At 39.4% G+C, this 14164-nt stretch overlaps 1 protein-coding gene across 25 annotated transcripts in view; it reads left to right on the forward strand.

The window, feature by feature from the left end:
* Positions 1 to 14164, forward strand: part of DNAH14 (dynein axonemal heavy chain 14) — a 469633-nt gene that overhangs the window by 237239 nt on the left and 218230 nt on the right. For all 25 annotated transcript variants that reach the window (XM_011544062.3, XM_011544067.3, XM_017000296.2 and 22 more), the window contains one exon: positions 1047 to 1136. In XM_011544062.3, coding sequence (XP_011542364.1) covers positions 1047 to 1136 — 90 coding nt within the window. The remainder of the gene's footprint in view (positions 1 to 1046; positions 1137 to 14164) is intronic.

Below are 14164 nucleotides of genomic sequence, written 5' to 3' on the forward strand. Positions count from 1 at the left end.
TAAGAAATTTGTGAAACTCATTAGCCAGGTGGGATAACCTGTCTGAGTATCTCTTTAATTATCCCAACCCTACGATCTGTGCATACAATGCTATTCTTATTCTATACCTATGTGATTTCTTGCTTATATTCAGGTAGGTATCTAGGCTTATGTTATTAACTGCAGAGGATTCATAAGTTCAGGCCTGAAGTGGGCAGTCTCATCAATTCCACTTAAGAGAGCAATTCCATTTGATCTTTTAAAAAATTCTGTCAACTGATTGCCTACCTCCAGTTATTGCCATAGAAGCTGCCTTTTTCTCCATTGTACAGTCCTACTGAGTATTTCCTTCACCTGCTTTGTTCTGTCTCAATGTAGGGATGCAAGGAATGAAAAATGGAATGGAAGAGATCTGTGAGAAAGAAAAGATAAATCCCACTTTTTTCTGTAGACATAGTTACCAATTCTATCTACAGTGAAATAAACCCTCCTTTAGAAGGAAGCACAGTTTCCCTTATAATACCTTGGTTAAAATATTAAGTATCTTTCCAAGCTGCAGCTGCTCTTTGGACTATTTTAACTTATAACCACATCATGTCTTTAATCTTGTAAATTTTATTTACTGTCTTAAAATATTCTTAACATTGAAACACTAAAATAATCATTACAAAATTGAAAACCTGTCTTAATAATGATTAGAATTACAAAAAGGTCTACAACCTTTTATGTTTTCTTTTAGTGTAGGATAATTAGATGGTTATACACTGATAACCTCTCATAACCTCTGGTTTTTAAATGTTAAGCAATGGGTTCTTAATCTAGGGAAGGATCTATGAATTTGCTATCAGGTGTCTGTGAACATAAAATTTTGTGTTCACTGTATTTTTCTGCAGACAGTAGTAATAGTTTTTACTATTCTCAGAGACAGAGGTTGGTGAACTAAAAAATCAAGAATTACTATCTTAAAGAGCGGTAATTGGTACCTAGTTAAGAGAGATTTTGGAAGATAAAAATTTAAGAGTTTCATTTGCAATGCATTTTAAATTTATGTATTTATTTCCTTTTAGAAAGTAATATATACTGCAACTCAGCAATTGGGTTTACAAAACTGGTCATCTCAGAAAGAGAAGATTATACAGTTTTATAATCAACTTCAGGTAAGTATAAAATGGCATGTTAGCAATCCTTTGCCTGTATTTCAATAGGAATTAATAAAATAAAGGGCAAAAATAATAATAAAAGAGAGCTGTTACAGGTATAATTTTTTTTAATTAAAGTCATTTATTAATTGTTAGTCAAGGCTTTATTATTTGGGTTCCAAGATGGCCAAATAGGAACAGCTCCAGTCTACAGCTCCCAGCGTGAGCGACGCAGAAGACGAATGATTTCTGCATTTCCAACTGAGGTAACGGGTTCATCGCACTGGGGATTGTTGAACAGTGGGTGCAGTGCAGCGAGCGTGAGCCGAAGCAGGGCGAGGCATCGCCTCACCCAGGAAGCACAAGGGGTCAGGGAATTCCCTTTCCTAGCCAAGGAAAGGGGTGACAGACGGCACCTGGAAAATCAGGTCACTCCCACCCTAATACTGCACTTTTCCGAAGGTCTTAGCAAACAGCACACCAGGAGATTATATCCAGTGCCTGGCTTGGAGGGTCCTATACCCACGGAGCCTCACTCATGGCTAGCACAGCAGTCGGAGATCAAACTGCAAGGTGGCAGCGAGGCTGGAGGAGGGGCGCCTGCTATTGCTGAGGCTTGAGCAGGTAAACAAAGCGGCCTGGAATCTCAAACTGGGTGGAGCCCACCGCAGCTCAAGGAGGCCTGCCTGCCTCTGTAGACTGCACCTCTGGGGGCAGGGCACAGCCAAATAAAAAATAGCAGAAACCTCTGCAGACTTAAATGTCCCTGTCTGACAGCTTTGAAGAGAGTAGTGGTTCTCCCAGCATGCAACTTGAGATCTGAGAACAGACAGACTGCCTCCTCAAGTGGGTCTCTGACCCTCAAGTAGCCTAACTGGGAGGCATGCCCTAGTAGGGGCAGACTGACACCTCACACGGCCGGGTACTCCTCTGAGAAAAAACTTCCAGAGGAACGATCTGGCAGCAACATCTGCTGTTCCCCAATATTTACTGTTCTGCAGCCTTCACTGCTGATACCCAGACAAACAGGGTCTGGAATGGACCTCCAGCAAAATCCAACACACCTGCAGCTGAGGGTCCTCTTAGAAGGAAAACTAACAAACAGAAAGGACATCCACACCAAAACTCCATCTGTACATCACCATCATCAAAGACCAAAGGTAGATAAAACCACAAAGACGGGGAAAAAACAGAGAAGAAAAACTGAAAATTCTAAAAATCAGAGAGCCTCTCCTCCTCCAAAGGAACGCAGCTCCTCACCAGCAACGGAACAAAGCTGGACAGAGAATGACTTTGACGAGTTGAGAGAAGAAGACTTCAGATGATCAAACTTCTCCAAGCTAAAGGAGGAAGTTCAAACCCATGGCAAAGAAGTTAAAACCCTTGAAAAAAGATTAGGTGAATGGCTAACTACAATAACCAATGCAGAGAAGTCCTTAAAGGACCTGATGGAGCTGAAAACCACGGCACGAGAACGATGTGACGCATGCACAAGCTTCAGTAGCCGATATGATCAACTGCAAGAAAGGTTATAAATGAAGTGAGAAGAGAAGTTTAGAGAAAAAAGAATAAAAAGAAATGAACAAAGCCTCCAAGAAATATGGGACTATGTGAAAAGACCAAATCTACATCTGATTGGTGTACCTGAAAGTGATGGGGAGAATGGAACCAAGTAGGAAAACACTCTGCAGGATATTTTCCAGGAGAACTTCCCCAACCAAGGCAAGCCAACATTCAAATTCAGGAAATAATGGAGAACGCCACAAAGATACTCCTTGAGAAGAGTAACTCCAAGACACATAATTGTCAGATTCACCAAAGTTGAAATGAAGGAAAAAATGTTAAGGGCAGCCAGAGAGAAAGGTCGGGTTACCCACAAAGGGAAGCCCATCAGACTAACAGCAGATCTCTTGGCAGAAACTCTACAAGCCAGAAGAGAGTGGGGGCTAATATTCAACATTCCTAAAGAAAAGAATTTTCAACCCAGAATTTCATATCCAGCCAAACTAAGCTCCATAAGTGAAGGAGAAATAAAATCCTTTACAGACAAGCAAATGCTGAGAGATTTTGTCACCACCAGGCCTGCCCTACAAGAGCTCCTGAAGGAAGCACTAAACATGGAAAGGAACAACCAGTACCAGCCACTGCAAAAACATGCCAAATTGCAAAGACCGTTGAGGCTAGGAAGAAACTGCATCAACTAACAAGCAAAATAACCAGGTAACATCATAATAACAGCATCAAATTCACACATAACAATATTAACCTTAAATGTAAATGGGCTGAATGCTCCAATTAAAAGACACAGACTGGCAAATTGGATAAAGAGTCAAGACCCATCAGTGTGCTGTATTCAGGAGACCCATCTCACGTGCAGAGACACACATAGGCTAAAAATAAAGGGATGGAGGGAGATCTACCAAGCAAATGGAAAACAAAAAAGGCAGGGGTTGGAATCCTAGTCTCTGATAAAACAGACTTTAAACCAACAAAGATCAAAAGAGACAAAGAAGGCCATTACATAATGGTAAAGGGATCAATACAACAAGAAGACCTAACTATCCTAAATATATATGCAGCCAATACAGGAGCACCCAGATTCATAAAGCAAGTCCTTAGAGACCTACAAAGAGACTTAGACTCCCACACAATAATAATGGGAGACTTTAATACCCCACTGTCAACATTCGACAGATCAATGAGACAAAAAGTTAATAAGGATATCCACGAATTGAATTGAGCTCTGCACCAAGCGGACCTAATAGACATCTACAAAACCCTCCACCCCAAATCAACAGAATATACATTCTTCTCAGCACCACACCGCACTTATTCCAACATTGACCACTTAGTTGGAAGTAAAGCAGTCCTCAGCAAATGTAAAAGAACAGAAATTATAACAAACTGTCTCTCAGACCACAGTGCAATCAAACTAGAACTCAGGATTAAGAAACTCACTCAAAACTGCTCAACTACATGGAAACGGAACAACCTGCTCCTGAATGACTACTGGGTACATAACGAAATGAAGGCAGAAATAAAGATGTTCTTTGAAACCAATGAGAACAAAGACACAGCATACCAGAGTCTCTGGGACACATTCAAAGCAGTGTGTAGAGGGAAATTTATAGCACTAAATGCCCACAAGAGAAAGCAGGAAGGATCTAAAATTGACACCCTAACATCACAATTAAAAGAACTAGAGAAGCAAGAGCAATCACATTCAAAAGCTAGCAGAAGGCAAGAAATAACTAAGATCAGAGTGGAACTGAAGGGAATAGAGACACAAAACACCCTTCAAAAAATCAGTGAATCCAGGAGCTGGTTTTTTGAAAAGATCAACAAAATTGATAGACCGCTAGCAAAACTGATAAAGAAGAAAAGAGAGAAGAATGAAATAGATGCAATAAAAAATGATAAAGGGGATATCACCACCGATCCCGCAGAAATACAAACTACCATCAGAGAATACTATAAACACCTCTATGCAAATAACCTTGAAAATCTAGAAGAAATGGAAAAATTTCTCGACACATACACCCTCCCAAGACTAAAGCAGGAAGAAATAGAATCTCTGAATAGACCAATAACAGGCTCTGAAATTGAGGCAATAATTAATAGCTTACCAACCAAAAGAAGTCCAGGACCAGACAGATTCACAGCCGACTTCTGTCAGAGGTACAAGGAGGAGCTGGTACCATTCCTTCTGAAACTATTCCAATCAATAGAAAAAGAGGGAATCCTCCCTAACTCATTTTATGAGGCCAGCATCATCCTGATACCAAAGCCTGGCAGACACACAACAAAAAGAATTTTAGACCAGTATCCCTGATGAACATCGATGCAAAAATCCTCAATAAAATACTGGCAAACCGAATCCAGCAGCACATCAAAAAGCTTCTCCACTATGATCAAGTGGGCTTCATCCCTGGGATGCAAGGCTGGTTCATCATACACAAATCAATAAACATAATCCAGCATATAAACAGAACCAACGACAAAAACCACATGATTATCTCAATAGATGCAGAAAAGGCCTTTGACAAAATTCAACACCACTTCATGCTAAAAACTCTCAATAAGGTATTGATGGGACATATCTCAAAATAATAAGAGCTATCTATGACAAACCCACAGCCAATATCATACTGAATGGACAAAACCTGGAAGCATTCCCTTTGAAAACTGGCACAAGACAGGGATGCCCTCTCTCACCACTCCTATTCAACATAGTGTTGGCAGTTCTGGCCAGGATAATCAGGCAGGAGAAGGAAATAAAGGGCATTCAATTAGGAAAAGAGGAAGTCAAATTGTCCCTGTTTGCAGATGACATGATTGTATATCTAGAAAACCCCATCGTCTCAGCCCAAAATCTCCTTAAGCTGATAAGCAAATTCAGCAAAGTCTCAGGATACAAAATCAATGTGCAGAAATCACAAGCATTCTTATACACCAATAACAGACAAACAGAGAGCCAAATCATGAGTGAACTCCCATTCACAATTGCTTCAAAGAGAATAAAGTACCTAGGAATCCAACTTACAAGGGATATGAAGGACCTCTTCAAGGAGAATTACAAACCACTGCTCAATGAAATAAAAGAGGATACAAACAAATGGAAGAACATTCCATGCTCATGGGCAGAAAGAATCAATATCGTGCAAATGGCCATACTGCCCAAGGTAATTTATAGATTCAATGCCATCCTCTTCAAGCTACCAGTGACTTTCTTCACAGAATTGGAAAAAACTAAAATTCATATGGAACCAAAAAAGAGCCCGCATTGCCAAGTCAATCCTAAGCCAAAAGAACAAAGCTGGAGGCATCACACTACCTGACTTCAAACTATACTACAAGGCTACCATAACCAAAGCAGCATGGTACTGGTACCAAAACCAAGATATAGACCAATGGAACAGAACAGAGCCCTCAGAAATGATGCCACATATGTCCAACTATTGGATCTTTGACAAACCTGACAAAAACAAGAAATGGGGAAAGGATTCCTTATTTAATAAATGGTGCTGGGAAAACTGGCTAGCCATATGTAGAAAGCTGAAACTGAATCCCTTCCTTACACCTTATACAAAAATTAATTCAAGATGGATTAAAGACTTAAATGTTAGACCTAAAACCATAAAAACCCTAGAAGAAAACCTAGGCAATACCATTCAGGACATAGGCATGGCCAAGGACTTCATGTCTAAAACAACAAAAGCAATGGCAACAAAAGCCAAAATTGACAAATGGGATCTAATTAAACTAAAGAGCTTCTGCACAGCAAAAGAAACTACCATCAGAGTCAACAGGCAACCTACAGAATGGGGGAAAATTTTTGCAATCTACTCATCTGACAAAGGGCTAATATCCAGAATCTACAAAGAACTCAAACAAATCTACAAGAAAAGAACAAACAGCCCCATCAAAAAGTGGGTGAAGGATATGAACAGACACTTCTCAAAAGAAGACATTTTTGCAGCCAAAAGACACATGAGAAAATGCTCATCATCACTGGCCATCAGAGAAATGGAAATCAAAACCACAATGAGATACCATTTCACACCAGTTAGAATGGTGATCATCAAAAAGTCAGGAAACAACAGGTGCTGGAGAGGATGTGGAGAAATAGAAACACTTTTACACTGTTGGTGGGACTGTAAACTAGTTCAACCATTGTGGAAGTCAGTGTGGCGATTCTTCAGGGATCTTGAACTAGAAATACCATTTGACCCAGCCATCCCATTACTGGGTATATACCCAAAGGATTATAAATCATGCTAGTATAAAGACATATGCACATATATGTTAATTGTGGCACTATTCACAATAGCAAAGACTTGGAACCAATCCAAATGTCCAACAATGATAGACTGGATTAAGAAAATGTGGCACATATACACCATGGAATACTATGCAGGCATAAAAAAATGATGAGTTCATGTCCTTTGTAGGGACATAGATGAAGCTGGAAACCATCATTCTCAGCAAACTATCGCAAGGACAAAAAACCAAACACCGCATGTTCTCACTCATAGGTGGGAATTGAACAATGAGAACACATGGACACAGGAAGGGGAACATCACACACCAGGGCCTGTTGTGGGGTTGGGGGAGAGGGGAGGGATAGCATTAGGAGATATACCTAATATTAAATGACGAGTCGATGGGTACAGCACACCAACATGGCACATGTATACTTTTTTAACTAACCTGCACATTGTGCACATGTACCCTAAAACTTAAAGTATAATAAATTTTAAAAAAAGTTAAAAGAAAAACAATATGAATTCTTGCAATCCATGAACACAGGATATCTTTCCATTTATTTGTGTCCTGTTTACTTTCTTTAATAAGTGTTTTATAGATGATGATATATGTTTTGTAGAGATCTTTCACCTTCTAGGTATTTCATATTTTTGTAACTATTATAAATGGAATGCTTTCTTAATTTCTTTCTCAGTCAGTGTTGCTACTGGCATATAGAAATGCTACTGATTTTTGTATGTTTATTTTGTATTCTGCAACCTTATTAAATTCATTTATTAGTTTTAAAAGCTTTTTGGTGGAGTCGTTAGTACTTTCTGTATAGATGATCATGTCATCTGCAAACAGGACAGCTTAAATTTCTCCTTTCTAATTTGGATGTCTTTTATTCCTTTCTGGTGCCTAATTGCTCTGCCTAGAACTTCCAGTAACATATTGAGGAAATGTGGTGAAAGTGAGCATCTTCATCTTGTCCCAGATCTTAGAAGAAAGGCTTTCAACTTTTTCCTGTTCAGGATGATGTTAGCTGTGGGTTTGTCGTATATTCACTTTATTGTGTTGATGTATGTCCCTTCTATGCCCAGTTTGTTTAAGGTTTTTTTTATTATAAAGGTATGCTGATTTTTGTAAATGCTTTTTCAGCATCAATAGTAATGATAAGGTGGTATTTGTCCCAGATTTTGTTAATGAGATATATCGTGTTTACTGTTTTGCATATGTTGAACAATCCTTTCATTGCTGGGATGAATCCCTCTTGATCATGGTTAATGATCTTTTTAATGTCTTGTTAAATTCAGTTTGCTAGTATTACATTCAGAATTTTTGCATCTATGTTCATCAAGGATATTAGTCAGTGGTTTCCTTTTTTGTTGTGTTCTTATCTGGTGTTGATATCAGAGTAATGCCAGCTTCATAGAACACATTGGGAATCATTTTCTTGAAGAATCTGAGTAGAATTGGTATTAGTTCTTCTTTAAAAGTTTGGTAGAATTCAGCAGTGAAGCCATCACATCCTGGGCTTTTCTTTGATGGAAAACTCTTTATTACTCATTATTGACCTGCATAGGTTTTCTTTTCTTCGTAATTCAATCTTGATAAGTTGTATGTGTCCAGCAATATATCAGTTTCTTCTAGGTTTTCTAATTTGTTGGCATATAGTTGTTCATAGTAGTCTTTTATGATCCTTTATATTTCTGTGGTATCAGCTATAATGTCTCCTTTTTCTTCTCTGATTTTATTTATGTGAGTCTTTTATTGTTAGTCTAGTGAAAGATTTGTTGATTTTTAAAAATCTTTTCAATAAACAAGGTGTTTGTTTTATTGATCTTTTGTATTTTTTACTCCCTATTCTCTCATCTTTATTTTTTGGGTTTTGATTGTTCTTATTTTTCTAGTTTCTTGAGGTGTAAGTGTGTTTATTTTGGATCTTTTTTTTTTTTTTTTTTTTGAGATGGAGTATCACTCTGTCCCCCTAACTAGAGTGCACTGGTGCGATCTCAGCTCACTGCTGAGACTTAGTTAGTAAGTCTCACAGGACCTGATGGTTTTTATTTTCCTGCACAAGCTCTGCACCTCCAGGGTTCAAGCGATTCTCCTGCCTCAGCCTCCTGAGTAGCTGGGACTACAGGCACCCACCATGCCCGGCTAATTTTTGTATTTTTAGTAGAGACAGGGCTTCACTATGTTGCCCAGACTGGTCTTGAACTCTTGACCTCGTGATCCACCCACCTCGGACTCCCAAAGTGCTCGGATTACAGGCATGAGCCACCACACCCGGCCAAACTTCCTTCTTAAAGGAAAGAATGCATTATGTTTATCCAACTTCCTTCCTTCCTTGCTTTTGCTATATCCTATTGGTTTAGGTATGTGGTGTTTCCATTTTCATTTCTCTCAAGGAATTTTTTAAATTATTTTTTAATTTTTTTCATTGACCCATTGCTTGTACATGAGCACATTGTTTAATTTCCACATATTTGTACAATTTCCAAAGTTCCTTCTGTTACTGATACTTAGTTTTATTTCATTGTTCTCAGAAAAGATACTTGATTGGATTTCCATTTTTCAAAAATAGTGAAGAGTTGTTTTGTGGCTTAATATATGGTTTGTCTTTGAAAATGTTCCATGTGCTGTTAAAAATAATGTCTATGTTATATCTGTTGGGGGAAATATTCTATTAGGTTCACTTCGTCTAGATTGCAGTTTAACTCTTATGTTTCTTTATTTTCTGTCTATATGAGTTATCCATTGATGACAGTAGGGTGTTGAAATTTCCTACTATTATTGTATGATATGGTTTGGCTGTGTCCCCACCCAAATCTCATCTTGAATTCCGTGTTGTGGGAGGTAATTGAATTATGGGGCAGGTCTTTCCCATGCTGTTCTCATGATAGTTAGTAAGTCTCATGGGATCTGATGGTTATTATAAGGGAGAGTTTTCCTGCACAAGCTGTTTTTGCTTACTGCCATTCCATGTAAGAGGTAACTTGCTCTTCCTTGCCTTCTGCCATTATTGCAAGGCTTCCCCAGCCATGTGGAACTGTAAGTTCAATTAAACCTCTTTCTTTTATAAATTGCCCAGTCTTGGGTATGTCTCTATCAGCAGTATGAAAACAGACAAATGCAGTAAACTGGTACCAGTAGAGTGGGGTGTTGCTGAAAAGATACCCGAAAATGCAGAAGCGACTTTGGATCTGGGTAACAGGCAGAGGTTGGAACAGTTTGGAGGGCTCAGAAGAAGACAGGAAAATGTGGGAAAGTTTGAAACTTCCTAGAGACTTGTTGAATGGCTTTGATCAAAAGCCTGATAGCAATATGAAAAATAAGGTCCAGGCTGAGGTATTTTCAAACAGAGATGAGGAACTTGTTGGGAACTGGAGTAAAGGTGACTCTTGTTAAGTTTTAACAAAGAGACTGGTGGCATTTTGCCCCTGCCCTAGAGATTTGTGGAACTTTGAACTTGAGAGAAATGATTTAGGGTATCTGGTGGAAGAAATTTCTAAGCAGCAAAGCATTCAAGAGGTGATTTGGGTGCTGTTTAAAAGCATTCCATTTTATAAGGGAAGCAGAGCATAAAAGTTTGGAAAATTTGCAGCCTGACAATGCGATAGAAAAGAAAATCTCATTTTCTGAGGAGAAATCCAAGCCAGCTGCAGAAATTTGCATAAGTAATGAGGATCCAAATGTTAATCCCCAAGACACTGGGGAAAATGTCTCCAGGGCATGTCAGAGGTCTTCATCACAGCCGTTCCCATCACAGGCCTGGAGGCCTAGGAAGAAAAAATGGTTTCGTGGGCCAAACCCAGGGTCTCTGTGCTGTATGCAGCCTGAAAGGGGACAATGTAGAGCTCCGGCCATGGCTTCAGAGGGTGCAAGCCTCAAGCCTTGGCAGCTTCCATGTGATGTTGAGCCTGCAAGTGCACAGAAGTCCAGAACTGGGGTTTGGGAGCCTCTGCTTAGATTTCAGAAGATGTATGGAAATGCCTGGATGTCCAGGCAGAATTTACTGCAGTGGTGGAGCTCTCATGGAGAACCTCTGCTAGGGTAGTGCAGAAGGGAAATGTGGGGTTGAAGCCCCCACACAGAGTCTACTGGAGCACCATCTAGTGGAGCTGTTAGAAGAGGGCCACCATCCTCCAGAACCCAGGATGGTAGATCCACTGACAGCTTGCACTGTGCACCTGGAAAAGCCACAAACACTCAATGCCAGCCCTTGAAAACAGCCAGAAAAGAGGCTGTACCCTGCAAAGCCACAGGGGCAGAGCTGTCCAAGACCAGCGGAACCCACCTTTTGCATCAGCGTGATCTGGATGTGAGACATGAAGTCAAAGGAGATCATTTTGGAGCTTTAAGATTTGACTGCCCCACTGCATTTCGGACTTACATGAGGCCTGTAGCTCCTTTGTTTTGGCCAATGTCTCCATTTGGAATGGCTATGTATTAGTCTGTTTTCCTGCTGCTGGTAAAAGACATACCCAAGACTGGGAAGAAAAAGAGATTTAATTGGATTTACAGTTCCACATAGCTGCGGTGGCCTCAGAATCATGGGGAGAGGCAAAAGGCACTTCTTACATGGTGTCAGCAAGAGCAAAATGAGGAGGCAAAAGCAGAAACCTCTGATAAACCCATCAGATCTCATGAGACTTAATTCACTATCACAGGAATAGCAAGGGAAAGACGAGCCCCCATGGTTCAATTGCCTCCTCTGGGTCCCTCCCGTAACACATGGGACTTCTGGGAGATACAATTCAAGTTGAGATTTGGGTGCAGACACAGCCAAACTATATCAGGCTATGTTTATCCGATGCCTGTACCCCCATTTATATCTAGGGAGTAACTAACTTGCTTTTGATTTTACAAGCCCATAGGCAGATGAGACTTGCCTCTTCTCAGATGAGACTTTGGACTGTGGATTTTTGAGTTAATGCTGAAATGAGTTAAGACTTTGGGGGACTGTTGGGAAGGCATGACTGGTTTTGAAATTTGAGGACATGAGATTTGGGAGGGACCAGGGGTGGAATGATATGGTTTGGCTGTGTCCCCACCCGTATCTCATCTTGAATTCCCATGTGTTGTGGGAGGGACCCAGTAGGAGGTAATTGAATTATGGATCAAGTCTTTCCCATGCTGTTCTTATGATAGTAAGTCTCACGAGATCTGATGGTTATTTCAAGGGGAATTTTTCCTGCACAAACTCTTTTTGCTTGCTGCCATCCATATAAGGTGTGACTTGCTTCTCCTTGCCTTCTGCCATGATTGTGAGGCTTCCCCAGCCACGTGGAACTGTAACTCCAATTAAACCTCTTCCTTTTGTAAATTGCCCAGTCTTGGATATGTCCTTATTAGCAGTGTGAAAACTGACTAATACATCATATTGCAGTCAATCTCTCCCTTTAGATCTGTTAATATTTGCTTTAATTGGAGAATTTAGTTCATTTACATTTGAGGTTATTATTGATGTGTAAGAACTTGCTACTGCCATTTTGTTACTTATTTTCTGGTTGTTTTTGTAACTCCTCTTTTCCTTTCTTCTTTTCTTACTTTCTTCCTTTGTACTTAAGTGATTTTCTCAGGGAGTATGCTTTAGTTCCTTGCTTTTTATTTATAGTGTATCTATAATAGGTTTTTGCTTTGTGGTTCTGAAAAATCATAGTTATAATAAGTTAAACTCATGACAACATAACTTTAATCACAACGAAAAGAAACAAACTAAACTAAAAAACTCCACATTATAACTCCATCTTCCCCACCTTCCAACTTGTGGATATCTCTATTTACATCTTTTTATATTGTCTATCTCACAACAAATTGTTTTAGTTATTATTTTTGACATTTTTCTCTTTTAGTCTTCATGTTAAAGATATGAGTATTTTACACACCACAATTACAGTATTAGAGTAATCTGAATTTTGGTATACCTGCTTTTATCAGTGAGCTTTATACCTTCAAATATTTTCTTGTTACATGTTATCATAATTTTCCTTCAGATTGAAGAACTCCATTTAGCCTTTCTTGTAAGACAGGTCTGATGGTGATGAATCCCCTCAGCTGTTTCATGTCTGAGAAAGTTTTTAACTCTCCTTCATGTTAGAAGAGTGGGTTTTCTGGCTACAGTATTCTCAGTTGACAGTTTTTTTTTTCTGTCAGGACTTCAAATATATGATCCCACTGCCTCTGGCCTGTAAGGTTTCCAATGAAAAGTCTGCTGCCAGATGTATCAGAACCCCTTTAAGTGTTATTTGCTTCTTTCTCTTTCTGCTTTTAGGATCCTCTCCTGTCCTTGATCTTTCAGAGTTTATTATATGCCTTGGGGTAGTCTTATTTGAGTTAAATCTGCTTGGTGATCTTTGACCTTTCTGTACCTGGATATGTATATCATTCTCTACATTTGTAAAGTTTTCTGTTATTATTTCTTGATATAAGCATTCTACCCCTTTTTCTTTCTCACTCTCTCTCGAAGCCTAGTGACTTTTATATATGCTCTTTTGATGCTGTTCCACAGACGTCATGAGCATCCTTCATTCAATTTCATTCTTGTCTGTTATTCTACTTTCACTGTGTGTCTTGGTCTGTTTTGTGTTGCTATAAAGAAATATCTGAGGCTGAGTAAATTATAAAGAAAAGAGGTGTATTTGGTTCATAATTCTGATGGCTGAAAAGTTCAAGATTTGGCACCTGGTGAGGGCCTCTGGCTGCTTCCACACATGGCAGAAAGTGAAAGGGAGCTGCCATGTGTAGATGTAACACGGTAAGATAGGAAACGAGAGATGGGCAAGATGCCAGGCTTTTTTTAATAACCAGCTCTTGAAGGAACTATTAGAGTGAGAACACATTCACCCCTGAGGGAAGGCATTAATCTATTCATGAAGGATCCCCCACAAGATATAAACACTTCTCATTAGGCCCCATCTCCATCAGACATCAAGTTTCAACATGATTTATGAAGGTGACAAATATTCAAACTGTACCACTGTGTACTTTCAAATAGCCTGTCTTTGAGCTCACTGGTTGTTCTGATGGATCTGCTATTAAGACCCTCTAATGCATTATTTTAAATTAAGTTTTTATACTAGACTTACAGCGTACATGTACAGGTTTGTGACATGGTTATATTGTGTGATGCTGAGGTTTGGGCTTCTATTTATTCCATTATCCAGATAGTGAACATAGTACACAATAGGAATTTTTTCAACCCTTGCTCCCTTCCTTTCCTCCCTCCTTCTGGAGTCCCCAATGTCTGTTGTTCCCAAATTTCTGCCCATGTGTACTTAAGATTTACCTGTTAC

Source organism: Homo sapiens, chromosome 1 (assembly GCF_000001405.40).
Source record: "Homo sapiens chromosome 1, GRCh38.p14 Primary Assembly".
Classification (NCBI taxonomy): Eukaryota; Metazoa; Chordata; class Mammalia; order Primates; family Hominidae; genus Homo; species Homo sapiens.